Source organism: Homo sapiens, chromosome 5 (genome assembly GCF_000001405.40).
Source record: "Homo sapiens chromosome 5, GRCh38.p14 Primary Assembly".
NCBI lineage: Eukaryota > Metazoa > Chordata > Mammalia > Primates > Hominidae > Homo > Homo sapiens.
The window spans coordinates 29,012,368-29,026,930 of NC_000005.10; the positions used below are offsets into that span (position 1 = coordinate 29,012,368).

Sequence of the window (14,563 nt, forward strand, 5' to 3'; positions counted from 1 at the left end):
AATATTGTTCTTATATTTTTGTTGATTTTTTTAATAAGCTGTCAAATGATTTTGAATTTTAGAATGTGCTAATGAAATAATTAACTATTCCCAGAATTGTAATATCAAGTGGTGGTTTTGTTTTTGAATGGGATATACAAATATATATGTCATGAATTCTGCACAAAATAGGTAATAAATGTATAAATCCAGATGTTAATTCAATAGAAAAATAGCGAGAATACAATGTAATGTATTGTACCATGTAACGTATAATGTAATGTAATATAAAGTATCCACTGCCTCATTCTAATTTCAGACTTTTAACCATAGTTTCTAAGTACTGGTAATATCTTTATGAGACTAGTATTTTAGTGTAAAAACAATGTAATAAAAATATTGTTTTGTGATATTTATCTTCAATTCATACTAAATGTAAGGTGGTTTCCTGCTTTGTTTTCTTTACATTTCAGTAGTAATTAAGCCTGAAGAGTCTGCTAGTATTCCTCTTAAAATAAGATGAATATTAAGTCCCTAATTGATTAAAAAAAAAGCTTCAAAGGAAAGCATTAATTGAGTAAACCTTTTTAAAACATTTATTCAGAAAAAAGAAGAACTCAATATTTATAGTACAAAATTCCACACAGATATAAAAAGAAATTTTCTTAGGCCAGAAGTTCGAGGTCATTTAACTTTGCCAAGGTCTGGAATTTTCTCAAACATACTTGAAACTAACTCGGATAAGTTTGAGTGTCCATCAAATTTTTACAAGAGACATGAGTTGAAATTACCTGTCATAATAATGGGTATTTATCAAAATGAATTTGGATCGCTTCTTTAATTTTAGATTTATTCTTTGTCTCCAACTTCCAGTGTTTTTGCATCACTCCCTATCAGGTTTCTCTCACTTCTATTTTTGAGAGCATATAGTTTTGTCATCGTCTAAAGTGAGAGTATTATTAGTCTCCTTAGAATCTTTTTTCCTCTGGAAAATTATGACATTTAAAAAAATTACCAGATTTCAATATCTCTCTAATAATAGGAATTCTAAAATAGGAACTAGGAATTGCAATACCTATTCTCTTGATGTGCTGGATATTTTCTTTTTGCCCTTCCAGACCTCCTCTTTATCCTTTTTCATCCAGCCTGTGACCTGAGCCTCAAGATGAGACAAGATGTCATTAAGCTTTCTGCTTTCTTATTCTCACTAAATTCAGTCCACCACAAGAACCAAGAGGAGACCAGAAATGGGAAGACAGTGAAGCCAGGACATTCATACTAGGACTTTTCCCTACCTTTTGCCATGAGTTATCCATGTCCCTCTATGGGAGGTGGTATTGCTTGTGAGATAGCCTCTTCAGGTTATGTGACCACTCCCTTTATCTCCCTCTGCTTCCTGGTATTGCAAAGGCTAAGTACTTTGCTGCTCTTTGTCAGTTTTCCCTTTCCTTACGCACAACTTTGGAAATGGTCCATTTATCCAACTTTCTTTTAGCAATTACCCCACTTACATATGCAAACTTTTCCAGATGAAACTTTACTATTGCAACTACTTAACCTGTGATGGGTTGTTGAAAACAAAGCTACAAAACCAGCTACAAAAACAAGCTAAGTTCATATCCACAAGAGTTAATCTTACATTCCAAACTAAAAATATTTAAAAATATATACATAATCTTAATATTTTAGGTTGAGAAATAATTCCAGGCTATAAATATAAATCTTCAAAAGTAGATCTAGCTTTGTTTTCTTTCAGAGCAAGTTGCCCTATCTTAGCATGTGTGTTGAATATTCTGTTTTGCCCCCCAAATCTAATCACATTTCTTTATCTTTCTGTGTGTCCTGTGCCTGATGTTGTCCCAGTGTTCCATTTGAGTTCTCTTGCTCTCTGCTTCTAGCTGATGTTGGTCAATGGCTAGCATCAACAGCTGATAAGAAAGAAGTAAAAAGATACATAGGGATATTTATTCTGGATGCTCCTTCCCTGTAATTTTTCAGTCCTAAGGAGGGTTAAAAGTTTGCCAGTATTGCGAGATGCTGGATGCTTCAGCACCCTTTGATGTTTCCCTTAGCCCTACCCACACTTTAGTAACCATCTTTTCCATAAATGCTATTCAGTTACCAGTTGGTGTTTGCCATCACTTTCCTCCCAGGATTTTGAACAAGTTAGCATGTGATTCATTTACAAATTGATTTTTTAAAAATATGATGTTTGCATCATAAAATAATGTAGTGGTTTTCCTTTTATATGGTATGGGAGTAGAAATTTTTAAACTTATAAAATAGACACCTTTTGTATTCCACAGTCATAAAAACAATCTAAAAATTTTATTTTTACCCCCAAATTGCCTTAAATCTAAAATGCAACACACAATATTTCAAAAACAACAATTAAAAAATAAGCCAACATGAACACAAACAGAGGATTCCTATCAAGGGAGTTGAGAGCTAGGATGATTGTATGTCCAGATGTTTCATTTTACACAGTATCAAGACTAAATTCACAACAGTTTCCCTGTTCACTGTATAATATATCCCACTAAGACAGTTAGTTTTATGGTCACTGTAGTCATATTACAGTATTATTTTAATATATTAGAAAACATGATATATATTGTGTATTATTTATATCATTTTTAGGCTAAGGTAATTGCTGAAGTCACAAGTTGGATTCATTTTTCTTTCAAAGCTATCAAGAAAGTTGTTTTAGATTACATATAAGTTCTCCCCCAACATGGGTGAGTCTGTAATTCAGGGTGAATGATCTGCAAAGATATAAGGCAATATACTTATTATGTTAATTTTCTTCTTTTGAAAAATAATTATGTACCCTTTTGTGGCATGCAATAAATTATGATGAATGCTAAAGTTTATTTCAAAAAGATGTAGATTTTAATGAAAAATGGATGTGTCTGCAATAAAACTTCTGAGGGTACACTAAATTTGGCATATGTTTAATAAATATGATAATATTGGGTTTGATATGATTCTAATTTAAAACATCAAATGATTTAAAAACCTAGACCAGCTTAAAAAATTATCACAAACTTCAACACTCCTATATATGAACCTTTAACTTATATTTTATATAAACCCAAAAAATAAAAATTAAAAAGCACCCTACCTATATAAATGTTTGTCAGTTTCTTCTCCCCTTGTAGAGATGATTTGTTAGTCATCCTGCTTAGAGAAATATTTTGAATTTCCAACAATTATTTTAGTAGGCTTTGGGAATCTAATGTGATTGGAGGAGATTCAGCATTCCTGGTGTAATTTAAGAATAATTGTGACAAGTACCCTTTGACACATTATATTTAGTAAATGCCTTAAAATGTTTGAAGGGTGTCAAAATATATCAATCTTTTCAAATATAAAACTCTGTCAAAGACTAAGAAGGTAACAATTAAGGTGATGTAGTTCTTGAAGTTATATAACAAATGGCTTTCACATGTTCATTTTTAAAATCAGTAGGAGTGTATCTTCAGATGCAATTCATTAATACATTCTTAAAATTAAACGCCACCGTTGTCCTATGTGAAAAAGATATTCCATTTCATTTCTTGTAAGTTTTTTCTCCCCCTCACTTTAGATGCATGAAATTAGTAATGACTTTTATAATGCATTAAACAGCTTTGGTCTTTAGAAAGAACCATATCCATTCTATGTTAAAGTAAAATAGTTCAAAATTAGATGAAAGCATCTAATTTCATTCTTCATATGGATAAGCGTGCTGGTTTTCTATTTGTTGCTTCTAAGCTCCAAATTTATTCTTTTTACCTACTCTGTTAAAAAGAAAAGTGCCTTTTTTTTTTTCTTTGCCAGCTGACAATGAAACTGTGTCAGTGGAGGGTGCTAGTGAGATATTAAAGCCTATTAAAAAAAGAAAAAGAACTCTGCTTCCTGGTTCTGCTGTACTCACTTGGCAAGTTCCTGAGGCATATATGGCTTCCTCCCACACGCGGTTCCTGCTATTCCCACAGCTTATCCAGGGGACTCGGCTCCTGCAACACATTGTGGCCATCAATACCCAGTGGCTACCAGCTCCCCTTGGCATCCAAATTTGGGCAATTTTGTAGCAGAACACCTCCAGAGAAGTTTCTCATGAACAGCCTTCCCTGGCATACTTGAGGGCAGACTTCCAGCCAGCTCCATTAACATGGTACCACAGCAACTTCTTTGCCATCCAAGAGCCACAGGCACATCCTCGATCTTATCCTCAGAGACATAGCTTTTCCTTGGAATATTGGTTGCTTCTCATATCTGCTGTTCCTATATTCTTCACAGTTCGCATTACCTCTTAAGAAGCAATTCCCGCATTACTTAAATCTTCTATGTTAAAAACTGTGTAATTTTCCTGTTCAAATTACTGTGCGGCTTCTGTTTTTCCCTTGGGCGCAGACTGAGTCAATAAGTAATTTGGCAGCACGATTCATTAATTGTCATTTATTTCTACACTTATCTGAATGCTTATTTATACTAAAAGATCTGGGAAAGAATGTTCATCGTAGCCCTATTCATAAATATCCAGACAAACAAAAAGGAAACAACACAAATATCTATCAAGTTAGAATGAATAAGTGAATTTCATGCCAATTACAATGTCACATGTTATAAAGGACAGTTTACCAATTGTTTTCCCAGCAATTGGATAATACTCTGTCTCTCTTGAAGGAGGGCAATGTGTCTTGAAATGTATAGATAGTAGGCGAGGTTAGTTATAACTTCGACACACACTCTAACAAATAGATCTTGGCCGTTGACCTAGGTATATCCAACCATTTGCCTACATGCGAGTCTGTGAATGTTGAGGTAATAATGAAAAGTCTTGTCATTTAGAATTTATTCCAAAAGCGTCCTGAAAATCTCCAGTAGCAACAGCACTACATAGGACATCGTAAGCATTCAGAGTCTGAGACACATAGGATTCACTGGGGTACCACTGGGTGCTTCCAAATATGGTGACAAAAATCAACCCGCTAAAGGGCTAGTCAAAGGTGAGAGTTATGGTTTATTAAGAAAGGAAATAAATTATAATTACAGGCTTGGAAGTAGTTCCAACACAGGGATTCTAGCTTGTGGACCTAACCTTCATTTTCACATCATTTTTAGAGATTATGGGTAGAGATCACATTAGGGCCTCCATAACAGAGAGGATCAATCAATGTAGCATGAGCACATTTGAATGTTAAAATGGGTAGACAATCAGCACTGTCTCAGCCTCCTCTGAGTGCGGTTGAAGCCACATATTCCATGAATTCTGAGCTTTCTACCTCCAATACATGTGCCTCTCCGCTCCTGCTTATCAGATTCAGCACTTCCTACAGCACCAAGAGAGCTAGCCAGGTCCCCTAGTTTTAGTCCGAGAATGCTTGGAATTTAATGTTGCCAGAGTCAATATTCAACTAGTGAGAGGCAAAAAAAAAAGCAGAGGCTGGATATTTTAATCTTCTCATCTTTCCTTAGAACATTGCTGAGGTATACAGTTTCTCTGACATTCCTGGGAAGATTGAGCTTCAGTTGCCCATCTCATTAAACCACTCACAAAATTACCCTTTATTGGTAATTCTTCTCTCTGTTACTTTATTCTACTCTCTCACTTCTACTTCCTGGATCACTTACCAAAAATATACCTATGCATAGTCTTTGTTTCAGAATTACTTCTGGGTAAAACTAAACTAAGATGACTCTAGTTGTGCTGCAAATATAACAATAAACTTACATTAAATATTAATTCGGGTTCTAAAACTACATACCTATATATTGGTGCATCAACTTCTTTTCAGCACATAGTTTTTTTGCTTTCTTCTTTGCAATTTCAATGTCTCATGTCAGACCTCCCCATACTGTGCAAAGTGAAATATTCAAAATCCCATGTAGCCACATTTAGGATTTGTCTCTAACAGGTATAGTTATATCATTATAACATTTCATCTTTTAATATAAAAGTAGTAATTCCTCTTGTTTTGGGGACATAATGTTAAAATTGCTGCTTTTAACTTTTAGTTTATTTTTGAAAAAGGGATCGAAAATCACGTACTAAGACCGGGAACTAATCTCTCAAAAACCGAACAAATTTAAAGGAAAGTCCATTGCTGTCAATAACCATCCCATTAAGAATGCATGAATGGGTAAAATCAGGTTATTAATGACGGTTCTCAATGTAAATATTAGCATGTTCTAATAATATGTTATTTTGTAATCAGAGACATGATAATAGCTTAATCGGGAGTTTATAGAAATCTAATTTTGATAGAAAATTATATTAAAATTATGAATGACAACTCTGTTTTGAGTCTATATATGTACACTGACTATAACTACATAAGACAGATGAGAGTAATTTTTTTTTTCAGAAAACCTAGGGTAACCTGGAATTTATATATAGTTAAATGTAAACAAAATACGTGAAACTGTATTAAGTGACAGACAATTTTAATTATCTTTTAACTATCTAGGAAAAGCAAAGTTCTGGAAATAAATACTTCAACAAATTAATATTGACTATTTTCATTACTGGGACTTTGGAGATTATTTCATTGTAGATGTCTATATTTTCTGAATTTTCTTAATAAACTTCAGAGTATGTAACATGTTTTTTAACAGTTTTAGGGTAGACATGATTAAATAACTATTTAATTTATAAATATGTATTTGACTATCTAGCAACCATTTTTCTCTTCTGAAACTAAAATGCATTCTGTATTAATCTCTGAATGTGGCTCTCTTTTTCCATCTTGTATCTCTTATAATATTGGTGTCCAATAACACTTTCTGCAATGATGGAAATATTCTCATTTCTGTTCTGTTCAGTAGAGTGGTTACCAGCCAGTTATCATGAGCCCTTGAAGTGTGGCTGGTGTGACTGAGCACTAAATTTTAAATATTTTAATAAATTGAACTTTAAATTTAAATAACTATAGGTAGCTAGCAGCTACCATATTGGACAGTACGTTTTTCTGTGACTAAAAAACACGTGCAAATAATAACTTTGAATTACAATGAGAATTGAGGTTAGAAAAGTAGAGGTTGATCTGTTATTAAATATGAAAACATCCTGAGCCCAGAAAATACAAAGTCCATTTAACTGACACAATTCAGGTTTCATTATTTTTCTGGTGTATTTCATCAGCAGATTTGAATACTAAGGAATTTCTTAATGGCTATTAAATATGCACTGTATGCCTGCGGATTTTACTTTTATGTTTTGTGGTTTGGAAGTGCAAGTGGGGTTTGAATTCACAGTAAAACTTAATGTACCTTTGGGAATGAACGCAACTGTGTTTCTAGTTGAACACATTAAGATATTGAACTATTTTATTGAACTAATAAAAACTCGAATATTAAGTTAAGCAATATGTCATTGTATGCTTAGAGGAACTGAAAGAATAGTTTAATTTAATATTGAATACTTTAAAACAAGAACACATGTATTACAATTTAAAATGGTTATTATTGCTGCTTCAAATGAGCTAGTAAGTTTTACACCTATGTGAGCAGATTGAATTCTCTAGAAAATGTTCAGCATAAGAGTTTTTCTTTCTATATCTACATCCTGTATAGATATAATTTTTAGTATATATAATATGCAATTTTTGAATATATAATATGTAATTAATTATATAGTTATTTCACTAAGGTATCACTGTAAAATAACATTTCCTATTATATATGCAAATTACATGGGTGCACCTTACCATATTCATCACAGAAATGAAGGAATTCACTTAGTGGGCAAATATTATTTTTACTCTCCATGATATAGTATTAGGAGAACAGCATACTGAGAGTTTTATATTTCTTATTTTTGTAATATTAAGTAAATCACTGTAGCATTCCTGAAAAGTGCTTGGAAAATGTTAATTAATTAGATAATTTTGTGTTAATCTAAGATTTCAAAGGGGATAATGAATTAAATTTTAGTATAAATAATAATCCTATATGTTATGTATCTGTATATGTATAAGGAAGGTTTAATTTTAAGAAAAGTATGGAGTATGTATATCTTTGGAATATTATAGTAGTACATTTATTTACTTTATATGCATCAATTTGGTTCCTTTGCTTTAGTGTAATGTTATGCTTCAGGATAAATTAAATTTCTTTAGAAAAGCTAATAAGTGAAAAAACCTGGTAACTATGGGTGCTTCTTAGACCTTTAGCAGCATCTACTTCCCAGACACATTTGTCATAAGTGATCTGAATACATTTTTTGATGTTTTACTGCTAACATGTTTCAACCTTCATCCTGCTCTCTTTCCCTTCCACCTCACATCTGGGAAAGCTAAGAAAGCCTGGATGTTCCTTTCTTTGGCACTAGTGGGGGTTCAAACAGTGTAAGTGCCTGCCCATATGGGAATCCCCACTCTGGCCCTATCTTCTGACCATGAGAGAAAACCCCAAACCAGTCCTCTTTCCCTGCTTTCTCAAGCCATTTCTGGAACTGCTTGTGAGCCACCATGCTCTCTCCAGAAAGCCTCTCTTTGTGAGTAATACACCTTTTCATACTCTTAGTGTGTGTGTGTGGCATCATCCACTTCTACAACTCAACCAAATTTTTGAGTTGTGGTATATCCTATACATTAATAGTGGTGGCAACAATCGGCACAATTATCTGGGTAGCTAGTGATGACTACCGCCACTGGTGAGCCTTCTTCCCTTGTTTGGCTTGCCAACTGGCTTGGCTGCCTGCTGGCGAGCCTGCAGTTGGAGCTGTTTCTTGCTGGCAAGCTTGCACTCTGAACTGTGCTACTTTGCGCTGAAAGTATTTTTTGCTGAATTCTACCCAGCCTCTGTTCCAGATTTAAAACTCCAAAGTCATAAATTTTGATAACTTCTATTTAGGAACAGAAGGATAGAATTGAATCTCTTCTTACAGTGCCCCTGGGTCATATGTCTTAGCCTGGACCTATTTGTGTATCTTAGATGCAATTTTTCATCTCAATTCCAGCTTAAGCCTTGTCTGACATTAGACTCAGGCGAATGACCCTTACCCTATGACCACTGCTTTTGTGTCTCAACCTGGAGCCGGCTCCATTTAATAGAGAGTTCAGGTGAAAGACTTACACTGTGTGTGATATATGGTCCCATCAGATGGTTGGTTGTGTAGAGAGGAGGCAGAAGAGTCAGTATTTAGATTTCTGAGTTCCACTTTCTTAAAAGCAGAAGGATAACTAGAATTCTATGAAATAAATTTTATTGTTTCTGCTGCTACCTATGTCTCTATCAGAAAAAGATCTTGAGTTTCAGGATTATAAGAAAGCATATATGATACCCCTGTGATGCAGCTAAGAGTTTAATTCAGCCATTTTTATTAGGGAGGTGTTTAACCCTGGTGATATTGATTCCAGCCTATTTGAAGGAAGAAATATAAATATGAGCTGGGTAACAGTAATTATAAAAAGTAAAGAAAATAATAAGAAAATTCTACCTAAATAGAAATCTAAGATTTGCTACAATAATGTATGTAGCTAACTGACAAAAAGGCACAGATCGGCTTTTGTACTTCTAAGACATAGGTTCTAATTTAACTAGCATCTGCCGAAATGCACAACTGAAAAGGTTTCATGGCCTTAATTAACATTGAGGCTCAATTTACATTTGTGCCTCGGGATTCCACTAATTTTAAATAAGGTATCCCTCTAATCTTAGGGGATTATGGAACACAAAATAGGGAGCAAATAGATATTCCTCACCTTAACTATTACATTGCCTTGCCTAAATCCTTCATGGTTATGGTACCCATTGCCCTAAAATGTTCTTGAGTATGGCTAAAGACACTTTGATCAAATGAGTAATGAATTAAGATTAAAATAAGTCTTTGGCACTTGCAAATTGGCTTGAAAAAAAATGAGACCCCATTGTTCTTCCACTACGTTAAAATAGTTAACATGGTGCATTGTAAAGTCAATCAAGGATTGAAATCAATCATAATAGGCCTATTCAGAGAAAGGGTGATTCGTTTCATTACTTCCACATTTATAGCCCAAGCTAGGCTCTTCTTAAACAGTTGATTACCACAAGCTTAACACCACTTAATGCTATGAACCAACATCCTCTCAGATGAAGAAACGAAATATGCTTTTACCTGTGTACCCATGGGATACTTCAGCAGCTTCGATGTTGTACACAGTCTTTACTGGCAGGATCTTAAACATGCCCAACTTTCTCCAGGAGCACAGGTGTAAACTTACTGATAACATCCTCCTCCAGAGGAGATTCATTTGACACGCCCATTCAGTACACAAAGATACTCAAAAAGGAGTTCAAAAAATAAAATAAAATGAGGCATTGCCCCATACATAGCACAAAGCCCACTATCCTGTTCAGAGTTCTGAAAATTATTTGGTAAACTGAGGGACACTCCATCCCTGACACTATCAAAAAAACACTATTGACCTTTTTATCACCCACAATGTTAAAACAAGCCAAACATCTTTTAGGCATTTTTTTGTGCTCTGGAGGCAAAATATTTATCATTTACAAATTTTGCTTAAGATTATTTATGTTGTCATTCATCATTACTTGCAAATCAGCCTAGCTTGCAAACAACCCCCTCCAACAAAGGGTGCTAAACATCTGTAAAAATCACAATAAAACAGCCACTCGATTTGTGTCCCCAGAGACTCCTTCACTATAGCATCTTTATAAACCTTCTCTCATGGTTCCCAGAGGCTTTGTTCTATAAGTTTATCACAATATTTTGTGTATGAGTTTCTTATGCAATAAATTGTGCTATCTGGCCTCACAGTATAGGTCATTAGAGAGGCAATTCCTGGTCACATACTGTACTCTCTTGAAAACAGAGGCCCTTCCAGACCGGAGATCCTTGACCCTTCCTACCCAGCTACCTACTCTGCCTTAGGTCATGGAAGAAGCAGCCCAAAAGCTTAGCACAGCTATTGAACTCCCTTGCTATTGAAGCTCTCTTTGCTCAAAGATGGAGCAAAATGTGATCCTTCTTTCACATCTCACCTGCAATAGGAGGTAGCCTCCACTTTCTTTGACAGATATTATGTTGCTGGAGAAGGTCATCCTCAGTCCTCTTGGCTACCTAGGGAGCCCCCTGGGATCAACTGAGTTAATAACAAATGGAGTTACTGTAATGTTCAGATGGCATCTGGAGGAAACCAAATATTTCATCCCAAAATATATTTCTTTGAGTTATGTTGAGATGGCTGTTCTGAGGGCCTGCAAACAGTAGTAGCCCTGCAAAACTGTCTTTTGTGGGGGAGATTTGCATCTGTGGAGAAAATAGGCATTATGCAACCAGGCTTTCTCTGAAGGCCCTCCCTTGTCCAGATCTAGGAAAGATTAACTGAAGGTCTGATAGCTTTGAAGACCTAAAAGAAACATTTACCATATTTTCTCCCTGAGGGTTAATACCTGTGAGAGATTTCATCTGCTTTACAAGACAAGACCATATTTGCTAGACAGGCATCCTCTTGTTTTCCGTCCCACAACCTGTTTTGCTGCCGTAACCTGTATTGTCTTGCTCCAAGGCCCCCATTTTTTTTCTGTAACTCCTGTGCATGTTAATACATTTGTAAGCTTTTTCCTTTTAATCTGCCTTTTGTCAGGTGACTTTTGAAAAAACTTTCAGAAAGCAAAGGGAAGCCTTGGCACCTACACATTGCCATCATCACATGTGATGGAGCTCATGGAGAATTACTGCTTTCCATCCTTTAACTAGGACATCCTAATAAAGATGGGACCCAAGGTCAGCACAATTAAGGTGATTTTTGATAGATGATCAAAAACTAACAGTGGCATATTGATACAACTATATAATATACCTATATGTATATATGTCATTGCTAAGCAAAAACAAAATTACAACAAAACAGAAACACAGCAACAAAAATCTCTATTACACGCAGCAACATGAATGACTCAAAAATATGCTGACCAATAGAAAATACACAAAACAATATGTACGTGAAAGCTCACTTTTGTTTTTTAATATGTAATAACAGCACTATTTTCTGTAGAAAATATTCTCATATGTAGGAAATATATACTTTGCAGTTTCATAATACGTGCAACGTGCAGAAAATATAAAATGGTTCAGCCATGTCATTAAATAAATGAATAAATAAATGATACACTGATAGATGTAGATGTATAGAGGCAAATATAACACAATAATTACCAATTTTATAACCTATCTACTTTTCTTTTTTTTTTTTTGAGACGGAGTTTCACTTTTGTTGCCCAGGCTGGAGTGCAATGGCGTGATCTCAGCTCACTGCAACCTCCGCCTCCTGGATTCAGGTGATTCTCCTGCCTCAGCCTTCCTGAGTAGCTGGGATTACAGGCATGCGCCACCACGCCTGGCTAATTTTGTATTTTTAGTAGAGACGGAGTTTCTCCATGTTGGTCAGGCTGGTCTCGAACTTTCGACCTCAGACGATCCGCCCGCCTCAGCCTCCCAAAGTGCTGGGATTACAGGCGTGAGCCACCACGCCTAGCCTAACCTAACTACTTTTTTAACTTTTCTGACTTTACTAATATTTATAGTACAATTGGAAGGAGTGTAAGAGGAAAAGTAACCAATTTCAATTAATTTGTGAAAGTGAGAACTCAGATAATATAAAAAACCAATAGATCTGAATAATTTTATATTAAACTATACATTGAATATTTAGAATAAAAAGCCTTTGTTTTTTATACTTTGGGGTTTTTTTGCTTACTCTTAAATTGTGTAAGTCCATTCAGACGAAGATTTTATTTTTTTTATATTTATTTATTTATTTATTTTTTCGAGATGGAGTCTTACTCTGTCGCCCAGGTTGGAGTGTAATGGTACGATCTCGGCTCACTGCAACCTCTGCCTCCTAGGTTCAAGCCATTCTTCTGCCTCAGACTCTCGAATAGCTGGGATTACAGGCATGTGCCACCACACCTGGCTAATTTTTATATTTTTAGTAGAGACAGGGTTTCACCACATTGGCCAGGCTGGTCTCAAACTCCTGACATCATATGATCCTCCTGCCTCAGGCCTCCCAAAGTGCTGGGATTACAGGCGTGAGCCACCGCACCCTGCCTGCCCATACAGAGATTTTTATACATAATAGTTATATTGGTTTTTTTAATTTCATGTCTTCTATACCATATATTTAACTTTCCTCCATTTTCTTCTATATGTAAAGTTATCATCTTCTGAGATTTCTTTATTCTGTTCAAAAAATTCACTTCATTTCTGCTTTGACCACAAGATGTCTCCTGCCGCATTGACTTCAGTAAATGGTAATTTAAACTGCTAGTAACACCATATTTAATAACATTTTATTTTTAAAATTATATATATCTTAGTGGTGATTCTCTACAGAACCTAGAGAGAATTCCTTTTGAAATAAATTGATTAGAAAAAACTTACCCCTTTTTCACTTAACATAAAAAAACTGCATGACCTCACTCATATGTAGAATGTAAAAACTGCATCTCATGGAAGTAGAGCGTAGAATAGTGGTTACTAGAGGATGGAGACGCAGAGAGGATGGACTGACAGTGAGACATTGGTCAATGGATTCAAAGCCACAGTTAGACAGGAGAAATGAGTTCTGCTGGCCTATTGCATAATGAGATGACTAGTTACCAATAGTGTATTGTATATTTTTAAATAGTTAAAAGAGAGGTTTTTGAATGTTCTCATCACAAATAAATGGTAAATGTGTTTAAGATAATAGATATGCTTCTTACCCTATTTTGATCATTATACAATTTATATATATATGGCAACATCACATTGTACCCCATAAATATGCACAATCATTGTCAATTATATTTTTTCTTTCCTTTTTGTTCTTTCTTTCTTTTTTTTTTTTTTTTTGAGATGGGGTCTCACTCTGTCGCCCAGGCTGGAGTGCAGTGGTGCCATCTCAGCTCACTGCAACTTCCACCACCCTGGTTCAAACAATTCCCCTGCCTCAGCCTCCTGCCTCCTGAGCAAAGTAGCTGGGATTAAAGGCACATGCCACCCCGCCTGGCTAATTTTTTTGTATTTTTAGTAGAGACGGGGTTTCACCATGTTGGCCAGACTGCTCTCAAACTCCTGACCTCAGGCAATCCACCCGCTTTGGCCTCCCAAAGTGCTGGGATTACAGGCCTGAGCCACCGTGCCTGGCCAATTACATTTTTTAAAAAAAATTCAATGCTTATAAAATCTTAAAAACACCATGCACTTAGGAATTAATATAATCACAGTTGTATAGAATACGCCTCCCGGAAACTCATACTCTTTAGAGAAATTTTAAAACACCTAAATAAATGGAAAGACAAAAAATGAAAAAAAAAAGATACTACTACAATACAAACAAGCAAACAAAACACACTTTCAATTTCCTTATGGCTTAGTATCCATGAATTCAAAATGAGACGTTTTACTCGGTGTCAATTTCATGGCAAGCCCTGCGATGACTATTAGAACCAGGAAAGTGTACTTTCAGGCAAGGCAGATATGACTATGTGGCATATCTTTTTTCCAAGATGGAGTCTTGCTGTTTCGTCCAGGCTGGAGTGCAGTAACGCTATCTCTGCTCACTGCAACCTCCACCTCCCAGGTTCAAGCAATTCTCCTGCCCCAGTG

At 35.3% G+C, this 14,563-nt stretch overlaps 1 annotated feature.

The window, feature by feature from the left end:
• Positions 10,062 to 10,262: a silencer, noted in NCBI's record as "peak5207 fragment used in MPRA reporter construct". NCBI's record gives its function as "represses an SCP1 promoter by STARR-seq MPRAs in K562 erythroleukemia cells {active_cell/tissue: K562}" and the evidence as "EXISTENCE:reporter gene assay evidence [ECO:0000049][PMID:32103011]".